Consider the following 15,899-nt stretch of genomic DNA (forward strand, 5'->3'; position numbering starts at 1 on the left):
GTAACAAGAGCGAAACTCCATCTCAAGAAGAAAAAAAACCAAGAAGAGTGCAGGCTCTCAGTGAATTATGAACCAGACTGAGTCTGTATCATGGCATATGTCAGGTGGTAACAAGTGATGTGTGTGCCGGGAAAAGTCTTCATAAGCACAAAACATAAAGGCCTTACAGGTGCTGAGTGTAAATAGCCTTGACCCTGAAGGAGGACTGCATTTTATAGCCCTCAAAATAGCCCCACACTCACCCTTTGCACACCTCACAATCAAGCCTATGGACCCCACACACACACACACACACACACACCCCACATGCACAGGCACACATGTCATCTCATCTACAACAGAACCTGCTGTCCACAGGCATTTTCTGCAGTGCCATGCCTCAGGCCTCATTTTCACACCCAGTGTAGGTCATTTTTAACCCACTCCCCATACAACAAAAGGATTTTTGGTAATTGTGGTGGACTGAATAATGAGGCCCCAAAAATCCAGGTCCTAATCCCTAGAACCTTTCAATGTGACCGTATATGGAAAGAGGGACTTTGCAAATGTGATTAAATTAAGCAACTTGAGATGGGGAGATTATCCTGTTTTATCTGGGTGGGCCCTAAGAGTCATCAAATGGATCCTAGTCAGAGGAAGACAGAGGGAGACTTGAGAGCAGAGGAGACTGTGTAACCACGAAGGCAGAGATTGGAGTGAAGGGCTCTGAGAATTTAGGAAGGGGCCCTGAGCCAAGGAATGCAGGCTCAAAACCAGCACAGACTCCAAGTAAGTCCCTAGTGCAGCCTCTACGAGCTGGAAACGACAAGGCAAGGAATGCCTAGCAAGAGCCTGCAGAGGGAGCGCAGGCCTGCCAACACCCGGATGAAACCCATTTAAGACTTCTGGCCTCCAGAATTGTAAGATAAGACATTTATGCTGTGGCCGAAGTAGGAGCAATGCTTGAGGCCAGGAGCTCAAGACAAGCCTGGGCAACATAGTAAGACCCCAACTCTACAGAAAATTTAAAAATAGCCAGGCATGGTGGTGCACGCATGTAGTCCCAGCTACTTGGGAGGCTGAGGCTGGAGGATCGCTTGAGCCCAAGAGTTCGAGGCTGCAGTGAACCAAGGTCTTACCCCTGCACTCCAGCCTGGGCTATAGAGCAAGACCTTGTCTTAAATACATAAATACATTTCTGCTGCTTGAAGCCACCAAGTTTGTGGTACAATTTGTTACAGCAACCGTAGGATACTAATACAGCTATAAAGTAATAGACGTTCTTTTTTGGTTTATGATTTAAAACTGTTTTCATAGAAGAATAAATTTTCATGTTAAAAAATTATTCAAATTCAGTAAAATATTTCATGTATGAACTAAAATTTGTATTTACCAAACACTTCTCCTTGCAGTTCACACTGTTTCACTCTTTGTTTTTTTGTGATGAAGTTTTACTCTTGTCGTCCAGGCTGGAGTACAGTGGTGCAATCTCAGCTCACTGCAACCTCCACCTCCTGGGTTCAAGTGATTCTCCTGCCTCAGTCTCCTGAGTAGCTGAGATTACAGGCGTGTGCCGCCATGCCTGGCTAATGTTTGTTTTTTTAGTAGAAACGGGGGTTTCACCATGTTGCCCAGGCTGCTTTCGAACTCCTGACCTCAGGTGATCTGCCCGCCTCAGCCTCCCAAAGTGCTGGGATTACAGGCTTGAGCCACCACACATGGCCTCTTTCACTGTTTTAAATTTGAATTGCAGATAAGGAGGATTTGTGGTCACACAGAATGACGGAGCTGAAAGAAGTCCAGCTCTGTTGCTTCATCGTTGCAATCCCTGTGCTGTCATTGTGCATTTCTAATCTGTTTAATGAAGGAGAATGTAATTCTGCAGGGGTTGGTTACATAGACTACACCCAAGGCGCCTCAAATGATTCCACACCTTAGAAACGTGAAAACCAGTGGCCATCCTTGTGCTGGGAGCTGACTGTACAACTGGCATTTTCCAAATTAACTGTCACAAAGAATGCAATGTTTATCAGAGTAAGTAATAAAAATGTGCTAATTTGAAGCTTACATATATATTATTAGAACTCAACAGTAAGCAGAACTTGTTTAGAACAGAGGCCAACCAAAAAAATTTTCAGGGACATTGTTTAGAAGTGCGGATGCACGATGTTAATAAAAAGCAGACGAACTTTTAGCCAGTTTTATTATTGTTTGTAAATTTCCTACGGATACTGCATGTGCTCACTGCCTGCCCTGGGTGGCACACTGATTTCTCGTGGTGCAGGAGAAAGGAAGACTGTTATCTTGGCTTAGATGCTAAGCCTTCCTCGGGCCCCGCTGTGCCTAGAAACTGAGTGAAACCTCCAGGGCTGTGCCTGGTCTCTGAGCGCAGTGCTCAGAGAGCTGGTGGGCAGAGGACCTGGGAGGAGGGAACTCCACAAAGGCCCCTGAAGCTCTAACTGGGTATAAAGTCGAAGGAGGCTTCCCTCCATCCTGAGGCAGGGCAGCTTGCAAGGGATTTGAGGGCAGGGCCAGCCTAGACAAAACCAGCACAGACCCCCAGTGGGTCGCCTGTGCAGGCCCTTCTCCCCTGGGGTACCCCAGCCCCCTGAGCCTGACCTCCTAGAGACTTGTCCTCCCTCCCAGCCTTTGGAACTTCCTACACTGCCCTTACCCCCTCATCCCCAGGGACACACCCCCGACCTGGAACTCATCGCTCAGCTAGAGACCAGCCAGGTGCCACCCTGAGTGGCTGGCCCTGCAAATGGAGGGGATCTGGATGTCTCCTGGCATGTGGCGGTGCCAGGCTGGTGAAGGAATGAAGTCACCAGGAAACAGAGAGGCAGTGGGAACAAGAAAGCAAGAAAGCAGAGGCCACCTGGCCCACACCCTCCAACCACCCTGCACCTGCACCTGGTTGCTGCTTCCTAAGCATGCGACCTTTCTCCCCTGAATGCCCCAGGTTGCAGGTGGCCTCTTGGTGACAAGAAGACTCAGAGGTACTTATACACTTTGGAGTCGAGAGAAAGGGATTCAAACCCTGCCTGTCCCCTGTTTGCCCTCGGGCAACATTCCACCCCCCAGAAAATGAGACTGGAACTGGGCACAGTGATTCACACCTGTAATCCCAGCATTTTGGAAGGACAAGGTGGGTGGATTGCTTGATCCCAGGAATTTGACCAGCCTGGGCGACATGGTGAAACATCATCTCTACAAAAAATGTATGTAAAAATTAGCCAGGCATGCTGGCACGTGCCTGTAGTCCCGGCTACTCAGGAAGCTGAGGTGGGAGAATCACTTGAGCCCACGAAGTCAAGGCTACAGTGAGCCATGATCGCACCACTGCACTCCAGCCTGGGCAACAAAGTAAGACCCCATCTCAAAAAAAAAGAAGAAGAAAGAAAGAAAGAAAGAAAGAAAAACAAGGCTGGAAGGCTGAGCAGGGTAACGGTGCCTGTGAGGATACCTGGTGCAAGGGTGGGCAGTCAGCCTTCACCTCCCACTCCCCTCCTTCTGGGCAAATGCTCATGGGCACATCCAAATAGTAGGGCACAGTGTCATTTGCCCTGAGCCCCTCTTCCCTGGCCCCACAACCAGGAAGGGGCTGACTTGCTCCCTAGAGTTAGCTTCCACCATTTAATAGGAGCCTTTTGGAGAGATGGCAATCATTTTCAGCAGTCTCAGTGGAGGAGGCATTCAAGGACTTTAGGGTGACACCCAAGGTGGCTGCTGGGGCAGGCAGCCCTGTTTTGAGTTGAGCTGGAGTGGGAACAGGGTGGGAGAAGGAATGGAGGGTGAGCAGAGAGGCAGTTCCCACCCTGTCGGTATGCAAATCACTTGCTGCTGAGATAAATGATCCGGCAGGATGGCAGGCAGGGTTCCCAGCGGGAGTCATTTGTCATTTCTACTCCTGATGTGTGAGTGAGAGAGTGAGAGCCTCCCCCATCCCTCCCCGCGACACAGGTAGCTCAGCCAAGCCCCAGGTGCCCGGGACAAGAGGCATCTCCCAGACCTCCACCTCCCCGAGTCTGGAGAGGGGCCTGCCTGGCACAGTCCTGGACGTGGGTTCTCCCAGCGCTGAGCATGGGAGAATACTCCTTGGTGGCCAGAGAGTGGGCCCTTTGTCTCCTGGAAGGACGATGTCAAACCACAAACCTCCCTCTCTTGGCAGTCAGCTCCCTGGCTAGTTGACAAGGCGTGCGTTGCTAAGATTATTCATGACATCAGCAGAGCCCAACCATATCTGGGGTTCACAGGGCGGGCCTGGCACAGAGCAGGGAAGGGTCAGGCCAGGTTGTGTTCCAGCAAGAATGTGCGTCAAGTTTGGACCCCATGGGTTCGTGTGTAAATGATTGATGAAGGGACAGATGAATCAATCAATCCTGGAGATCCTGAATTTGCCAGAAATCCAATCCAACCATCCCGCCCTTTCCTATTTGGGCTCCTCGTCTTGAGAGCAAACGCTTGAGAACATCACACTAGGAAGGACTCAGAATGTCGGGGAACAGATGCCAGGCAGTAGTGATTTACTAAGAGAGGAATGGGCTGCCCGGGCCGGGCTCGGTGGCTCACGCCTGTAATCCCAGCACTTTGGGAGGCCGAGGTGGGCGGATCACCTGAGGTCAGGAGTTCAAGACCAGCTTGAACAACACGGAGAAACCCCATCTCTACTAAAAATACAAAAAAAATTAGCCAGGCATGGTGGCGCATGCCTGTAATCCCAGCTACTTGGGAGGCTGAGGTGAGAGAATTGCTTGAACCTGGGAGGCAGAGGTTGCAGTGAGCCGAGATCGCGCCATTGCACTCCAGCCTGGGCAACAAGAGCAAAACTCTGTCTCAAAAAAAAAAAAAAAGAAAGAAAGGAAGGAAGGAAGGAAGGAAGGAAGGAAGGAAGAAAGAAAGAAAGAAAGAAAGAAATGGGCTGCCCTTCCTCACAGCCAGGGATGCTGTCCCCACCCACGCTGATAAGCTTCCAGCGCTTAGAGACGGTTTCCCACCATCCGATGGCTGGGCTGGTGCGTCCAGCTAGAGCTCAGAACCTGCCCTTAGTAGGAGCCCAATAAATATTCGCTGATAAACAAACAATCAGAGAAGGCCCTCATAGGACCACATGGCATGGCCTTAATTCTGGAAAGAATTAAAACTTTTTGGCACAGTTAGGGATTGAACTTACAACTTGGTGTAAAAAGCATATGGTCTCATTTTGTTCTTTTATTCTCTTGTTCTTTCACTCACTCACTCACTCATTCATTCAAGAACTATTTCTTGAGGACTCACTATGTGCTCAGCATTGGACAATGATGACTCTCAGTATGTCATGGGTTGCCAGTGAGCAGGACCCTGAACAGCGACCAGGGGCCTCTCTGCTGACAATGGCCAGAAGTTTCTAGACACAAAGGGCCCCACAGCTCTTGGTGAACCCCAGATATCACTGGGCTCTGCTGATCATGGAAAATCTTCGCAGCTCATGCACAGGACGCACATTTGTCAATTAGCCGGTGAGTTCACAAGCCAAAAGAAAGTGGTTCGAAGCTTTCCGTTGCCTTTCCAGCAGATGGAGTGTCTTGGCCAAATCCCAGCACCACCCAGGCTGCCTCCTCGGGAGGGTTCTTCCTTCTCTTGATGGAGAGGGGCTGGACAGGTCTGCCATCTCTCACTTGAGGTCCCCATCAGAACACTCTGAGGTCAACTCCACCTACAGCCTCCTACCACCAAAACTTGGGAAAACTCCTGAAAGGCAGATTTGATTCAACTCACTTCAGCAACACATTCTTTGATACCTACGACGCGCAAGGTCCTACTAAGGCAGGGCAAGCGAGCTGTAAGATGGGGCTTAGTCCATGAGGGTTCTTGGTCTTGCCCAGGAAATAATTCAAAGGCAAGCAGGGGGTAGAAGAAAATGGCTTTGTTGAAGCAGCAGTGTTACAGTTGCGTGACAGCTCCATGACTGCCCCTGCAGAGCAGGGCTGCCCCATAGGCAGTGTGCTGAGAGCTGCCACTCAGGGCAGGTTAGCAGACATATTTATACCCACTTTTAATTGCATGCAGATTAAGGGGCAGTTTATGCAGAAATGTCTAGGGAATGAGCAGTAACTTTTGGGTCATCAACATTGTCATAGAAAGAGGCGGTAATTCCCGGCTGTTGCCATGGCAATGGGAACCTGACATAGCACACTGGTGGCCATGTCTGACTGGAAAGCTGCTTCTGCACTGGTCTGGTTTTAGCTAGTCCTCAATCTGTTCCAGTGTCTGAGCCCCACCTCTGGAGTCAGGTCCCACCTCCTACCTCATTATGTTCAAACTTACCAGGAGGAAAAAGACCCAGTCTCTTTTATGCAGGTACTGATGACCTAGAGAAGAGAGACACAAACACAAGTAGCTATAATGTAAGAGGGAGGTCAAGGGTTGCCGCCCACAAGGAGATGAGGTCACAGGGGATGCGATGCTGGTGAGAGGTGAGCCAGGGCTGCTCAGGGGCTGGGAGGCAGGGTCAGCAGGTGACAGCAATGGCATGGCAGCTTCCTCAAAAGAAGGGGGCTGGGGTGGGCGTGGTGGCTCACGCCTGTAATCCCAGCACTTTGGGAGGCCAAGGCAGGTGGATCATCTGAGTTCAGGAGTTCAAGACCAGCCTGGCCAACATGGTGAAAGCCCGTCACTAGTAAAAATACTAAAAACTACCCAGGGGTGGTGGTGTGTGACTGTAGTGCCAGCTACTCGGGAGGCTAAGGCAGGAGAACTGCTTGAACCGGGGAGGCGAAAATTGCAGTGAGCCAAGATCACACCATCGCACTCCAGCCAGGGCAACAAGAGTGAAACTTTGTCTCAAAAAAAAAAGAAGAAGAATGGGAGCTGGAACCTGGGGAGGCGACAGGGAACAGTGTCAGTTGGGAATCCCCCATGGGCAGGAGCTCAGGGCATCTCTTCCCATCCGTGAATGGGCCAGAGGAGCAGAGACACAGGTGAAGCCGTGGGAGACTGCCCCCTGAGGGAGGTGTGGCAGACATTGCAGGGGATCCAAATTCATTCCAAGAAGAGGATCCATGGCACTCTGCAGGGGAAACTGAAGGATGTGTCAGGCGCCTGTCCACTCAGAAGGAAAGGGCTTAGAAAGGGGCAGACAGGAGGCCTGGATGGGGAGGGTGGAAGAGGACAAAGATGGACAGCGGGCAAGGGGATCTCAGAATCAAAACCAGAGGGCCGCATCTGCTGCCTAGGCGTCACACAAAGCCTCTGCAGAGCCTGCAGCGTGAGGGCAATGTGCGTTTGCTGCGTCTGTTGCCATGTGCCCATGTGTGCATCTGTGACACGTCCCCAGTCATGCGTTTGCTGCAGACCCAGCCAGTGTGCATTCCCTGCCCTCTCAGAGCTCATGTTCCACTTGGGGAGAGAAACAACAAGCAAACGGACATGCTGAATGAAGAAAAGGAAGCAGGGTGTGGGGAGGGTAGTGGGAAGGGTGCGCAGAGAGGAGGATGGGTTACGAGCCTACATTCAAGGAACTGAAGAAAGGTCTCCTAGCTGAGCAAGATGGCTCATGCCTGCAATCCCAGCACTTTGGGAGGCCAAGGTGGGCAGACTGCTTGAGCCCAGGAGTTTGAGACCAGCCTAAGCAACATGGTGAAACCTCATCTCTATAAAACATATTTTAAAAATTAGCCAGGCGTGGTGGCATGCAGCTGTAGCCCCAGCCACTTGGTAGGCTAAGGTGGGAGGATAGCTTGAGCCTGGGAAGCTGAGGCTACAGTGAGCTGTGATGGCACCACTAAACCTGTCTCAAAAAAAAAAAGAAAAAAAGAAAGAAAAGAAAAGAAAAGAAAAAAGAAAAAGAAAGAAAAGAAAGGAGAAAAGGTTTATTTTCTCCTGGAAGGAGTAACCCCTGAGAGGCTGGCTTTTTTGAGTCTCCTTTCACCCTCCCTGGGAATGTGGGCTCCAGCAGGTGCACCCCACCGATCCCCCCTCCCCCAGGCTGCTGTCGAAGGGCCACAAGGGAGTAGCTGGCTTTGATGGTGTTCCTGTGGTCTGATCCTCTGGGTTTTATCTGAGCCTGGTCCCAGCAGGTGGCTGTGGGGCCCAGCAGGGCCACCTGAACCCCACTGAGAATGCATTCTCTGATCTTCTCTTTCTTGGCTGTGGAGAACAGAAGTTGAAGGAAGATTGCAGCTTTGGAAAAAGGCAACCTCAGGAAGCAAAGTTCATTCTCAGTTCCAACCTGGGAGAGGCACAGAGACCCCACAGTTCTCCCTCTGGGAACAGCAGGCCCCAGCCTGACGCAGGTCCTCTCCAGTCGGACACCACCACCATGATCCCAGCTGGTCCTCAGAGGGGCTGCTGGCCTCCAAAGCCTGCTTCCAACACTGCAGGGTGCAGTCATTTCTTTCTTGTCCATCAACATCCCCCTTCCTGCGTGAGAGTCCACCCACAGACTTCTCCCATCCAGAAGCAGCTTTACGGGTTTTTTAGGGGCCTATTGCCTGCCCTCCAGCGCCAGGAGTCTCTACCCCTGGGATCAGGAAATGGGGGCTGCGGGCAGGGTTACAGGGAGGAGTCACTTCCTGGCTGCAGGTATTGAGGCCAGAAGGATGCCAGCCCTGGGTAATGCCCAAGTGCCAGTCTCCCTCCTTCCTCCTTGGCCCCCACACCCCTCTTTCTGAGAGCGGAGGTCTTGCACTTGAACTTGGGAATGTGTCATTCCCCAAGACCCCCACACAGGGCCACCAGGACCTTGCCCTCCTTCTCCAGACCCCAAAGCTGGTTTCTCCTCCCTCTTCCTTGCTGTGCCCATCCTTCTTCCTCTCCCAGGGTCCCCACATCTCCCAGATCTTCCAAAGCCCCGAACTGCTCCGTAGAATCAGGTGTTCAGTTTTTCTCCTCCACTGAAATCAGGCAGCCATCAGCTACTCCTGCACTGAAGGTGGCGTTTGGGGCAAGGTGAGAGACCTGCCAGGGGAGGCAGTGGGCAGTGCGCTGCACTGTGGTCAGCAGCTGCGGGAACGGGGATTCCTGAGCAAAGGGCTGGCACCTTGCAGTCCTCAGCCAGACCCCCAGGCCCACCTGCCCCTCGACCGAGGCCAGACTCCCTGCAGGGCTGTGGCCCACACTCCCTTCCCCGGGGCCCGGCCAGGATCCTTTCTGCTTGTCCATGGCAGGCTGGGACTCACCCAAGGCTGTGTGTCCAGGAGGCCACTGAGCCTCCTGATGTCCACCGAGGAGTCCATGTGACCAGTGACAGGCACAGCCCCAAGCATGGGCCACAAACACATCACCAGGGCAGCAGGAGGGAGCCGGAGGCCAGCGCATCACATTTTTAAAAAGAACGTTCTGGCCCTAGGACTGGCTCCCCTGTCTGGAGGCTTTTCCACTCGCCTCTCTGTTCTCGGTCTCCTGCCCTTCTCTCTACCACTCCCAGCCTCCTTCCTGAAGCAAAGGGAGGGCCCCAGGGTGAAGAGTGAAGTCCCTTGCCTTGCCTCAGTCTCCCTTTTTGTGAAATAAACAATCCTATGACCCAGAATGAATAAAGGGCTTTGAATATACCCATTTCCTAGTCTCTGGATTTGAATCCTCCCAACCTAGGATTCCTCTGCTAGAGAGAAGGCCTGACTCGGCTCCCCAAAACCTCCCCCCAACCCAGCTCTGCCTCAAGCCTCCCGCTACCTCCATTCCAGCTCCCTTCGTCCCAGCTTCCCCCCTGCAGCTCCCCAGGCCCCAGTTCTGCCCCTACCCCACCTCCCCCAGCCCCACCTTCCCCACCCAGCTCCAACCTGCCCTGCCCCACAAGCTCCCCCTCCCCAACTCTCTCCCCCTCCCACCCCAGCCCTACCTCCCTGCCCCGCCCATCCCTACTTTGCCTTCCCCGCCTGATGAAGCCTCCCCTTCTGCCATCCCTCAGCTGTGGCCTGGCATGGAGATGTAATTACTGCATTAGCCCAGTGGCCTGAAGAAAGACTGGGGTTGGGAGCGGGGTGGGCTGAGAACTGGGGGAGAGGAAGGTTCTTTATTAAATGCAGATGTTTTTAAATCACTGTAATTAACTGGGATGGATACCACGAATCACAGGCATAAAAGCTAAATGGGCTTTTGTTTTAACTGTTTGTCATATATTTAAAAGGGTCATCAGAGAATATAGTACATGGAGAGGTTCTTGCTCTCTTCCTGCTTGCTTTTGCCTGGCAAAGGCTTTCTTCGGACACGTTGGTGAACACGCACGTGCCCATGCACACACACGCCTCCATCCATCCCCTCCTCTCTTTCTGAGTCTCTCTCACATCCACACACATCCACACTGCACACACACCCTCCGTTCTCTCACACACACACTCAGTGGGGCTGGCCTGGATAGGTCTTGGCTGCAAAGGAGTGGGTATCCACCAAGGCAGCTGTGGAAGAATCAAGTTCCCCGCCTTGGGAAGTTTCCTCGGAGGCCCGGGGGACGTCCTTCCCCAGCGGCTTCAGGAAGCACCGGCGGCTTCTCAGCGGACACACGCACAGACCCAAGCTCAGATACAAGAGGCATATCCGCGGAGACTTGCTGCCCCAACTCCTTCCTTGTTTCACTAAACAAGCTAGAGATAGACACACCTCCCTGTGGGCCAGACTCCCCGCTTCTCCCCGGGAATGTGGAATGTGGAGCCACTGTTCTACTTGGGCAAGCACTGTTTTTCCCAGGTCAAAGGCAGCAGGGAAGAGGCGGGTCCAGGCCCTGAGGGGTGGGCTGGGTGCTGAGAGGCTTTGAAGGGCCCCTCTGGCCAAACACTTCCACCTGCACCTCTTCTGGGGCCTGTCCCCAAAATACTTGAGCGAAGACAGGGCCTGCAGCCCATGCACGGCACGTGGCAGAGAGAAAGTGAATCGCACAAGCAGTGTGCATTGAAGGTCACAAAAGAGCATACCTTGACACAGCCTTGTGCACTAGTATTTTCTATTCTATTTTTCTTTTCTTTTCTTTCCTTTTTTTTTTTTTTAAGACAGAGTCTCACTCTGTTGCCCAGGCTGGAGTGCAACGGCACGATCTCAGCTCACCGCAACCTCTGCCTCCCAGGTTCAAGCGATTCTCCCTGCCTCAGCCTCCCGAGTAGCTGGGATTACAGGCGCCCGCCACCACACCCAGCTAAGGTTTGCATTTTTAGTAAAGACAGGGTTTTGCCTTGTTGGACAGGCTGGTCTCGAACTCCTGACCTCAGGTGATCTGCCCACATCAGTCTCCCAAAGTGCTGGGATTACAGGCGTGAGCCACCGTGCCCGGCCTAGGTTTTATATATATATATATATATATATATATATATATATATATATTTTTTTTTTTTTTTTTTTTTTTTTTTTTTTGAGACAGAGTTTTGCTCTGTCACCCAGGCTGGAGTGCAGTGGCATGATCATGGGTCAATATAGCCTCAACCTCTCAGCCTCAAGTGATCCTCCCACCTCAGCCTCCCAAGTAGCTGGGACACCAAGCACACATCACCACGTCTAGCTAATTTTTTAATGTTTTTGTAGATACAGGGTCTCACTGTGTTGCTCAGGTTGGTCTTGAACTTCCGGGCTCAAGTGATCCTCCACCTCAGCCTCCCAAAGGGCTGAGATTACAGGTGTGAGCCACCGAACCTGGCCAACATTATCTTTTCTATACTATTCTAATTCTAGTTTTCACAACCCACAACCCGGATTTTGAAACCTGGTGGGTGTCCTTCAGCAGTTTGAAAAACACAGCTCCTGCTCTTCTGTGACGCAGGCTTCAGAAAGCTCTCTAGGCCCAGGTGCCAGCTCTGCTCTCAGAAACATTCCAGGACTGGTCGGGCCAGGTGGCTCACGCCTGTAATCCCAGCACTTTGGGAGGCCAAGGGGGGCAGATCACCTAAGGTCAGGAGTTTGAGACCAGCCTGGCCAACATGGTAAAACCCTGCCTCTACTAAAAATACAAACATTCGCCAGGCGTGATGGCGGGCACCTGTAATCCCATCTACTCGGGAGGCTGAGGCAGGAGAATCACTTGAACCCAGGGGGCGGAGGTTGCAGTGAGCTGGGATCACGCCACTGCACTCCAGCCTGTGCAACAAGAGCTCCAGCCTGAGCGACAAGAGCAAGACTGTCTCAAAAAAAAAAAAAAAAAAAAAAAAAAGAAGAAGAAGAAGAAAAGAAAAAGAAACCTTCCAGGGCTGGTTTTATCCTTCCTTTCTCACCACCCAAAACACACATGGAAGAGAGTATCTTACCTTAGCTTTGACCTGCCACGCCATCCTTTCTTCTGGTCTCCTCTCCTGCTCACCTTCTGTCCTGGCACCACTAAGTCCATCTCCTTCCTCGCAGTTTCCTTCCAGTTTTTGAAACTCTTGAAAAGCCTCGTTAGAACATGACCTGAGTCTCCACCACTTTGAGAGCTCACAGGAAAGAAATCCAACTTCTTTCAATATGAAGAATCCAGCTGCATGTCTGAAGCTCAACTTGACATTCAACTGTCCTACTTCTAGCCAGCAAAGACATACTCTCAACTTGTAGAAAGGGTTTTTCAGGAAAGAGAGGAGCTGAGTGCTTATTGAGCAGTTACTATACACCCAGCACTCTCCTTGGAGTTCTAGTGGACATTATCTTTTTCACTGCTCTCGAGAACCTTATGAAAGCCAGGGCATAGTGGCTCATGCCTATGATCTCAGCACTTTGGGAGGCCAAGGCCAGAGGATTGCTTGAGCCCAGGAGTTCAAGACCAGGCTGGGCAACATACTGAGACTTCCTATCTCTACAAAAAATTTTAAAAATTAGCTGGGCGTGGTGGCACACGCCTGTGGCCCCAGCTACAGGGGAGGCTGAGGCAGGAGGATCACTTGAGCCCAGGAGTCTGAGGCTGCAGTAAGCTATGATCATGCCACTGCACTTCAGCCTAGGCGACAAAATGCGACCCTGTCTCAAAGGAAAAAAAAAAACACAAAACTTTACAAAACAGGACCTTATTACGACTCAGAAAAGGGAAGTGAGTTACCTAAGGCTTAGGGGCATCTATGGCATGGAGTTGGGTGGAGAGTGAGGAGAATTACGCCTTGGCCTGAGCATAACAAAGTCAAGTTTTTTCTGTTAGGGAGAATGCTTCCCTGGGGGGTGATCAGATGGCAGAACAGGTCTTCAGGCAAACAGGGATTGTTTTGCTAAATGAACGTGAACCAGTCTTTCCCAAAGCTTCCCACACATCCCTCCCACCCAGCTGTAAATTTCCAAGCTGAAGCCAACTGTTCTTAGTGTACCCTAGAACCAAACATGGGAAGGGTGGAGAGGAAGGAAAGGAAGAAGCGGTGCAGGGAAGAAAGCAGAGAAGTGGTGAGAAAGAGAAAAAGAGTAAGACAGAGGCAAAAATAGACAAAGAAAAAACAGTCATACCTTTTAATACATTTTCTCCATTTGAAAATAAACATTTTTGGCTGGGTGTGGTGGCTCACGCCTGTAATCCCAGCACTTAGGGAGGCCAAAATGGGTGGATCTCTTGAGGCCAGGAGTTCAAGACCAGCCTGGCCAACATGGTGAAACCCCGTCTGTACTAAAAATACAAAAATTAGCCGGGCGTGGTGGTGCATGCCTGTAATCCCAGCTGCTTGGGAGGCTGAGGCACGAGAATTGCTTGAACTTAGGAGGCGGAGGTTGCAGTGAGTCTAGATCACACCATTGCACTCCAGCCTGGGTGACAAAGAGAGACTCTGACTCAAGAAAAAAAAAAAGAAACATTTTTTCACTTTCTAACTTTCCAGAAATTGAAGTGCATCTTATAATAAACGTGGAAAGAAACTTGTCAGCTAATGATACATCTTACAACAGGGCGAATTGGAATGGAGGGAAAAACAGTAGTTGAAGATCATCCCTGTGGCTCCCAAGATGAAAGTTACTGGGGTGGCCTGAACTTCCCAGTGTGGCTCGAAGGTGTGTGTGGATTTTTCTTGTTTGCTATACGAAGGTTTCAACATAATCTGGTGACCATACTTTTAACCACACTGATTTATGGGGAAAGATGCTCTGGGGCCACAATTCTATTTCTATTTGCACAGCCTTATGTATTGATTTTCAGACGTATGCTCTCAGCAGAAAAAAAAATATTTTTTTTGCAGTAGCAATTAACCTAATAAACCACCTTTTCATCGTTCTGCATGTAGATTAACCACTTCAGAGAATACCAGATCAACACCGTGTTTTGCATGCCTGCACCTTCGGAGAGGAAGCTGTTATTTCAGAAGCCAGGCAGAACAAAGGGAGTCATCTGGTGCGATCCTAGTAATTAGAGAGAAGAGGCCCCTCAGGTGACTGCTGAGAAAGCTCCCTTAATTTGACCCTGTTTCACACAGTCCAATTTTCAATAAAAAGAGACACTTCAGCACTGTCCTTTAGGAAATCGCCTGGGAGTCCATAATCCCTCAGTCTTCCTGGGGGTTATTCTGTCTAAAGTCCTCCCTTCCGATCTGTTTGCGTCAAACCAGCCATCCCTCTTCCCGCTTCGGTATTTACCCAGGGACGTTTCCAGGGCCCAGGCCTCCGTGCCCGGTGGCAATGTTGACAAAAAACAGTCAAACTCTGTAAAATATTTGAAGAGATTTATTCTGAGCCAAATATGAGTGACGATGGCCCGTGACACAGCCCTCAGGAGGTCCTGAGAACATTTGCCCATGGTGGTCAGGGTGCAGCTTGGTTTTATACACTTAGGAAGGCATGAGACATCAATCAAATACATTTAAGAAATACATTGGTTTGGTTCAGAAAGGTGGGACAACTCAAAGTGGGGCAGGGCGGGGGAGGGGGAGGTGGTGGGGGGTGGGGCCGAGGGGGTTCAGGCGATCGGTAAATGTAAACATTTTCCGGTTGACAATTGGTTGAGTTTATCTGAAGACCTGGGGTAAAGGAAATGCTCAGGTTAAGATAAAGGATTGTGGAGACCAAGTTTTATTGTGCAGAGGAATGTCTCAGCAGACTTTAGAGAGAGAGCAGGTTGTAAAATGTTTCTTATCAGGCTAGTTGATTATCTCCTGGATCTGGAAAGGAGAGAAGGAAACAAAGGGGAAACGAGATTCTCTATAGGATGTGGATTTTTCCCACAAGAGACTTTGCAGGGCAATTTTAAGGTATGGCAAGGAAATATATTTTGGGGTAAAACATTTTGATTTTCTTCCTTGTTATGCCACAGTCAGATTGGAAAGTAAGTCACAATATACAGGGTCAAATAAAACCCATCTGATGAGAATTTATGGTTTGTAGGGCATGACTCCCCAGACCCCTTAGATAGGAATTTGGGCAAGATAAAAAAAAAAAATCAGAGTTTAGTCCTCAGCAATTATCAGCCAAGTGTGGAGGCTTCTTTCTCCTTTGGTTGGCACCACCCTTATCATTAGCACTGATGATTTGCTTGAGCTTGCTTCTCTTTCTCACCGTCAGTGGGAATCCAAAGCAGTATCTGATGGTTTGTTTATTATTTCCTTCAATGAAATACATTTGATTGTAGAAGTAGAAAAAGTAGAAAGTAGAAGAAGTAGAAAAAAATATATATGCCAGCTCCTCACCCCAAACTCCCCTCCCCTGCCCAACTCCGATATACTCAGGATATATGCTTTGAATCTGAAACAGCCCAAATGCACTGGCATGTTTTCTCTCCAGGTACTTTGGGTTCCAGGTTTGTTTTTTGTCCCCAGATTTCCCTCTTTGACGTTTCACCTCCTGGTAGCCCAGAACAGCAAGAGCGGCTGCGTCAAATGCAATCTTCCTTCTGGCAGAATTCTCTTCCAATGGACCATAAAATGTTCCACCCCGGTCCCCAGGAAGCCTGGGCATTTCTGGATAGCCACGATCCTGCCTTCAGTGCGTCCTCCTTCCCACGTGCCAGCATTTCCCACACAGACCTCTGCAGGCACACGGTCCTGGGTACCAAGAAGCACATCAAGGATTCAGGGCCTAGCTGCCCACAGCTC

The 15,899-nt window shown here is 50.5% G+C and overlaps 1 long non-coding RNA gene across 1 annotated transcript, besides 3 other annotated features; it reads left to right on the top strand.

The window, feature by feature from the left end:
- The first annotated feature begins 5,240 nt into the window (after window positions 1-5,240).
- Window positions 5,241-14,335, top strand: LOC105371909 (uncharacterized). The gene is made up of 3 exons (XR_935002.3): window positions 5,241-5,477; window positions 13,701-13,869; window positions 14,100-14,335. It is a non-coding gene; the product is annotated as an uncharacterized LOC105371909 (long non-coding RNA).
- Window positions 8,651-9,596: an enhancer, noted in NCBI's record as "H3K4me1 hESC enhancer chr17:75925764-75926709 (GRCh37/hg19 assembly coordinates)". NCBI's record gives its function as "activates a minimal SCP1, AML or CMV promoter by ChIP-STARR-seq in naive H9 embryonic stem cells {active_cell/tissue: H9 hESC(naive)}" and the evidence as "EXISTENCE:reporter gene assay evidence [ECO:0000049][PMID:30033119]".
- Window positions 10,569-11,180: an enhancer, noted in NCBI's record as "H3K4me1 hESC enhancer chr17:75927682-75928293 (GRCh37/hg19 assembly coordinates)". NCBI's record gives its function as "activates a minimal SCP1, AML or CMV promoter by ChIP-STARR-seq in naive H9 embryonic stem cells {active_cell/tissue: H9 hESC(naive)}" and the evidence as "EXISTENCE:reporter gene assay evidence [ECO:0000049][PMID:30033119]".
- Window positions 13,972-14,473: an enhancer, noted in NCBI's record as "NANOG hESC enhancer chr17:75931085-75931586 (GRCh37/hg19 assembly coordinates)". NCBI's record gives its function as "activates a minimal SCP1, AML or CMV promoter by ChIP-STARR-seq in primed H9 embryonic stem cells {active_cell/tissue: H9 hESC(primed)}" and the evidence as "EXISTENCE:reporter gene assay evidence [ECO:0000049][PMID:30033119]".

Source organism: Homo sapiens, chromosome 17 (genome assembly GCF_000001405.40).
Source record: "Homo sapiens chromosome 17, GRCh38.p14 Primary Assembly".
Lineage (NCBI taxonomy): Eukaryota > Metazoa > Chordata > Mammalia > Primates > Hominidae > Homo > Homo sapiens.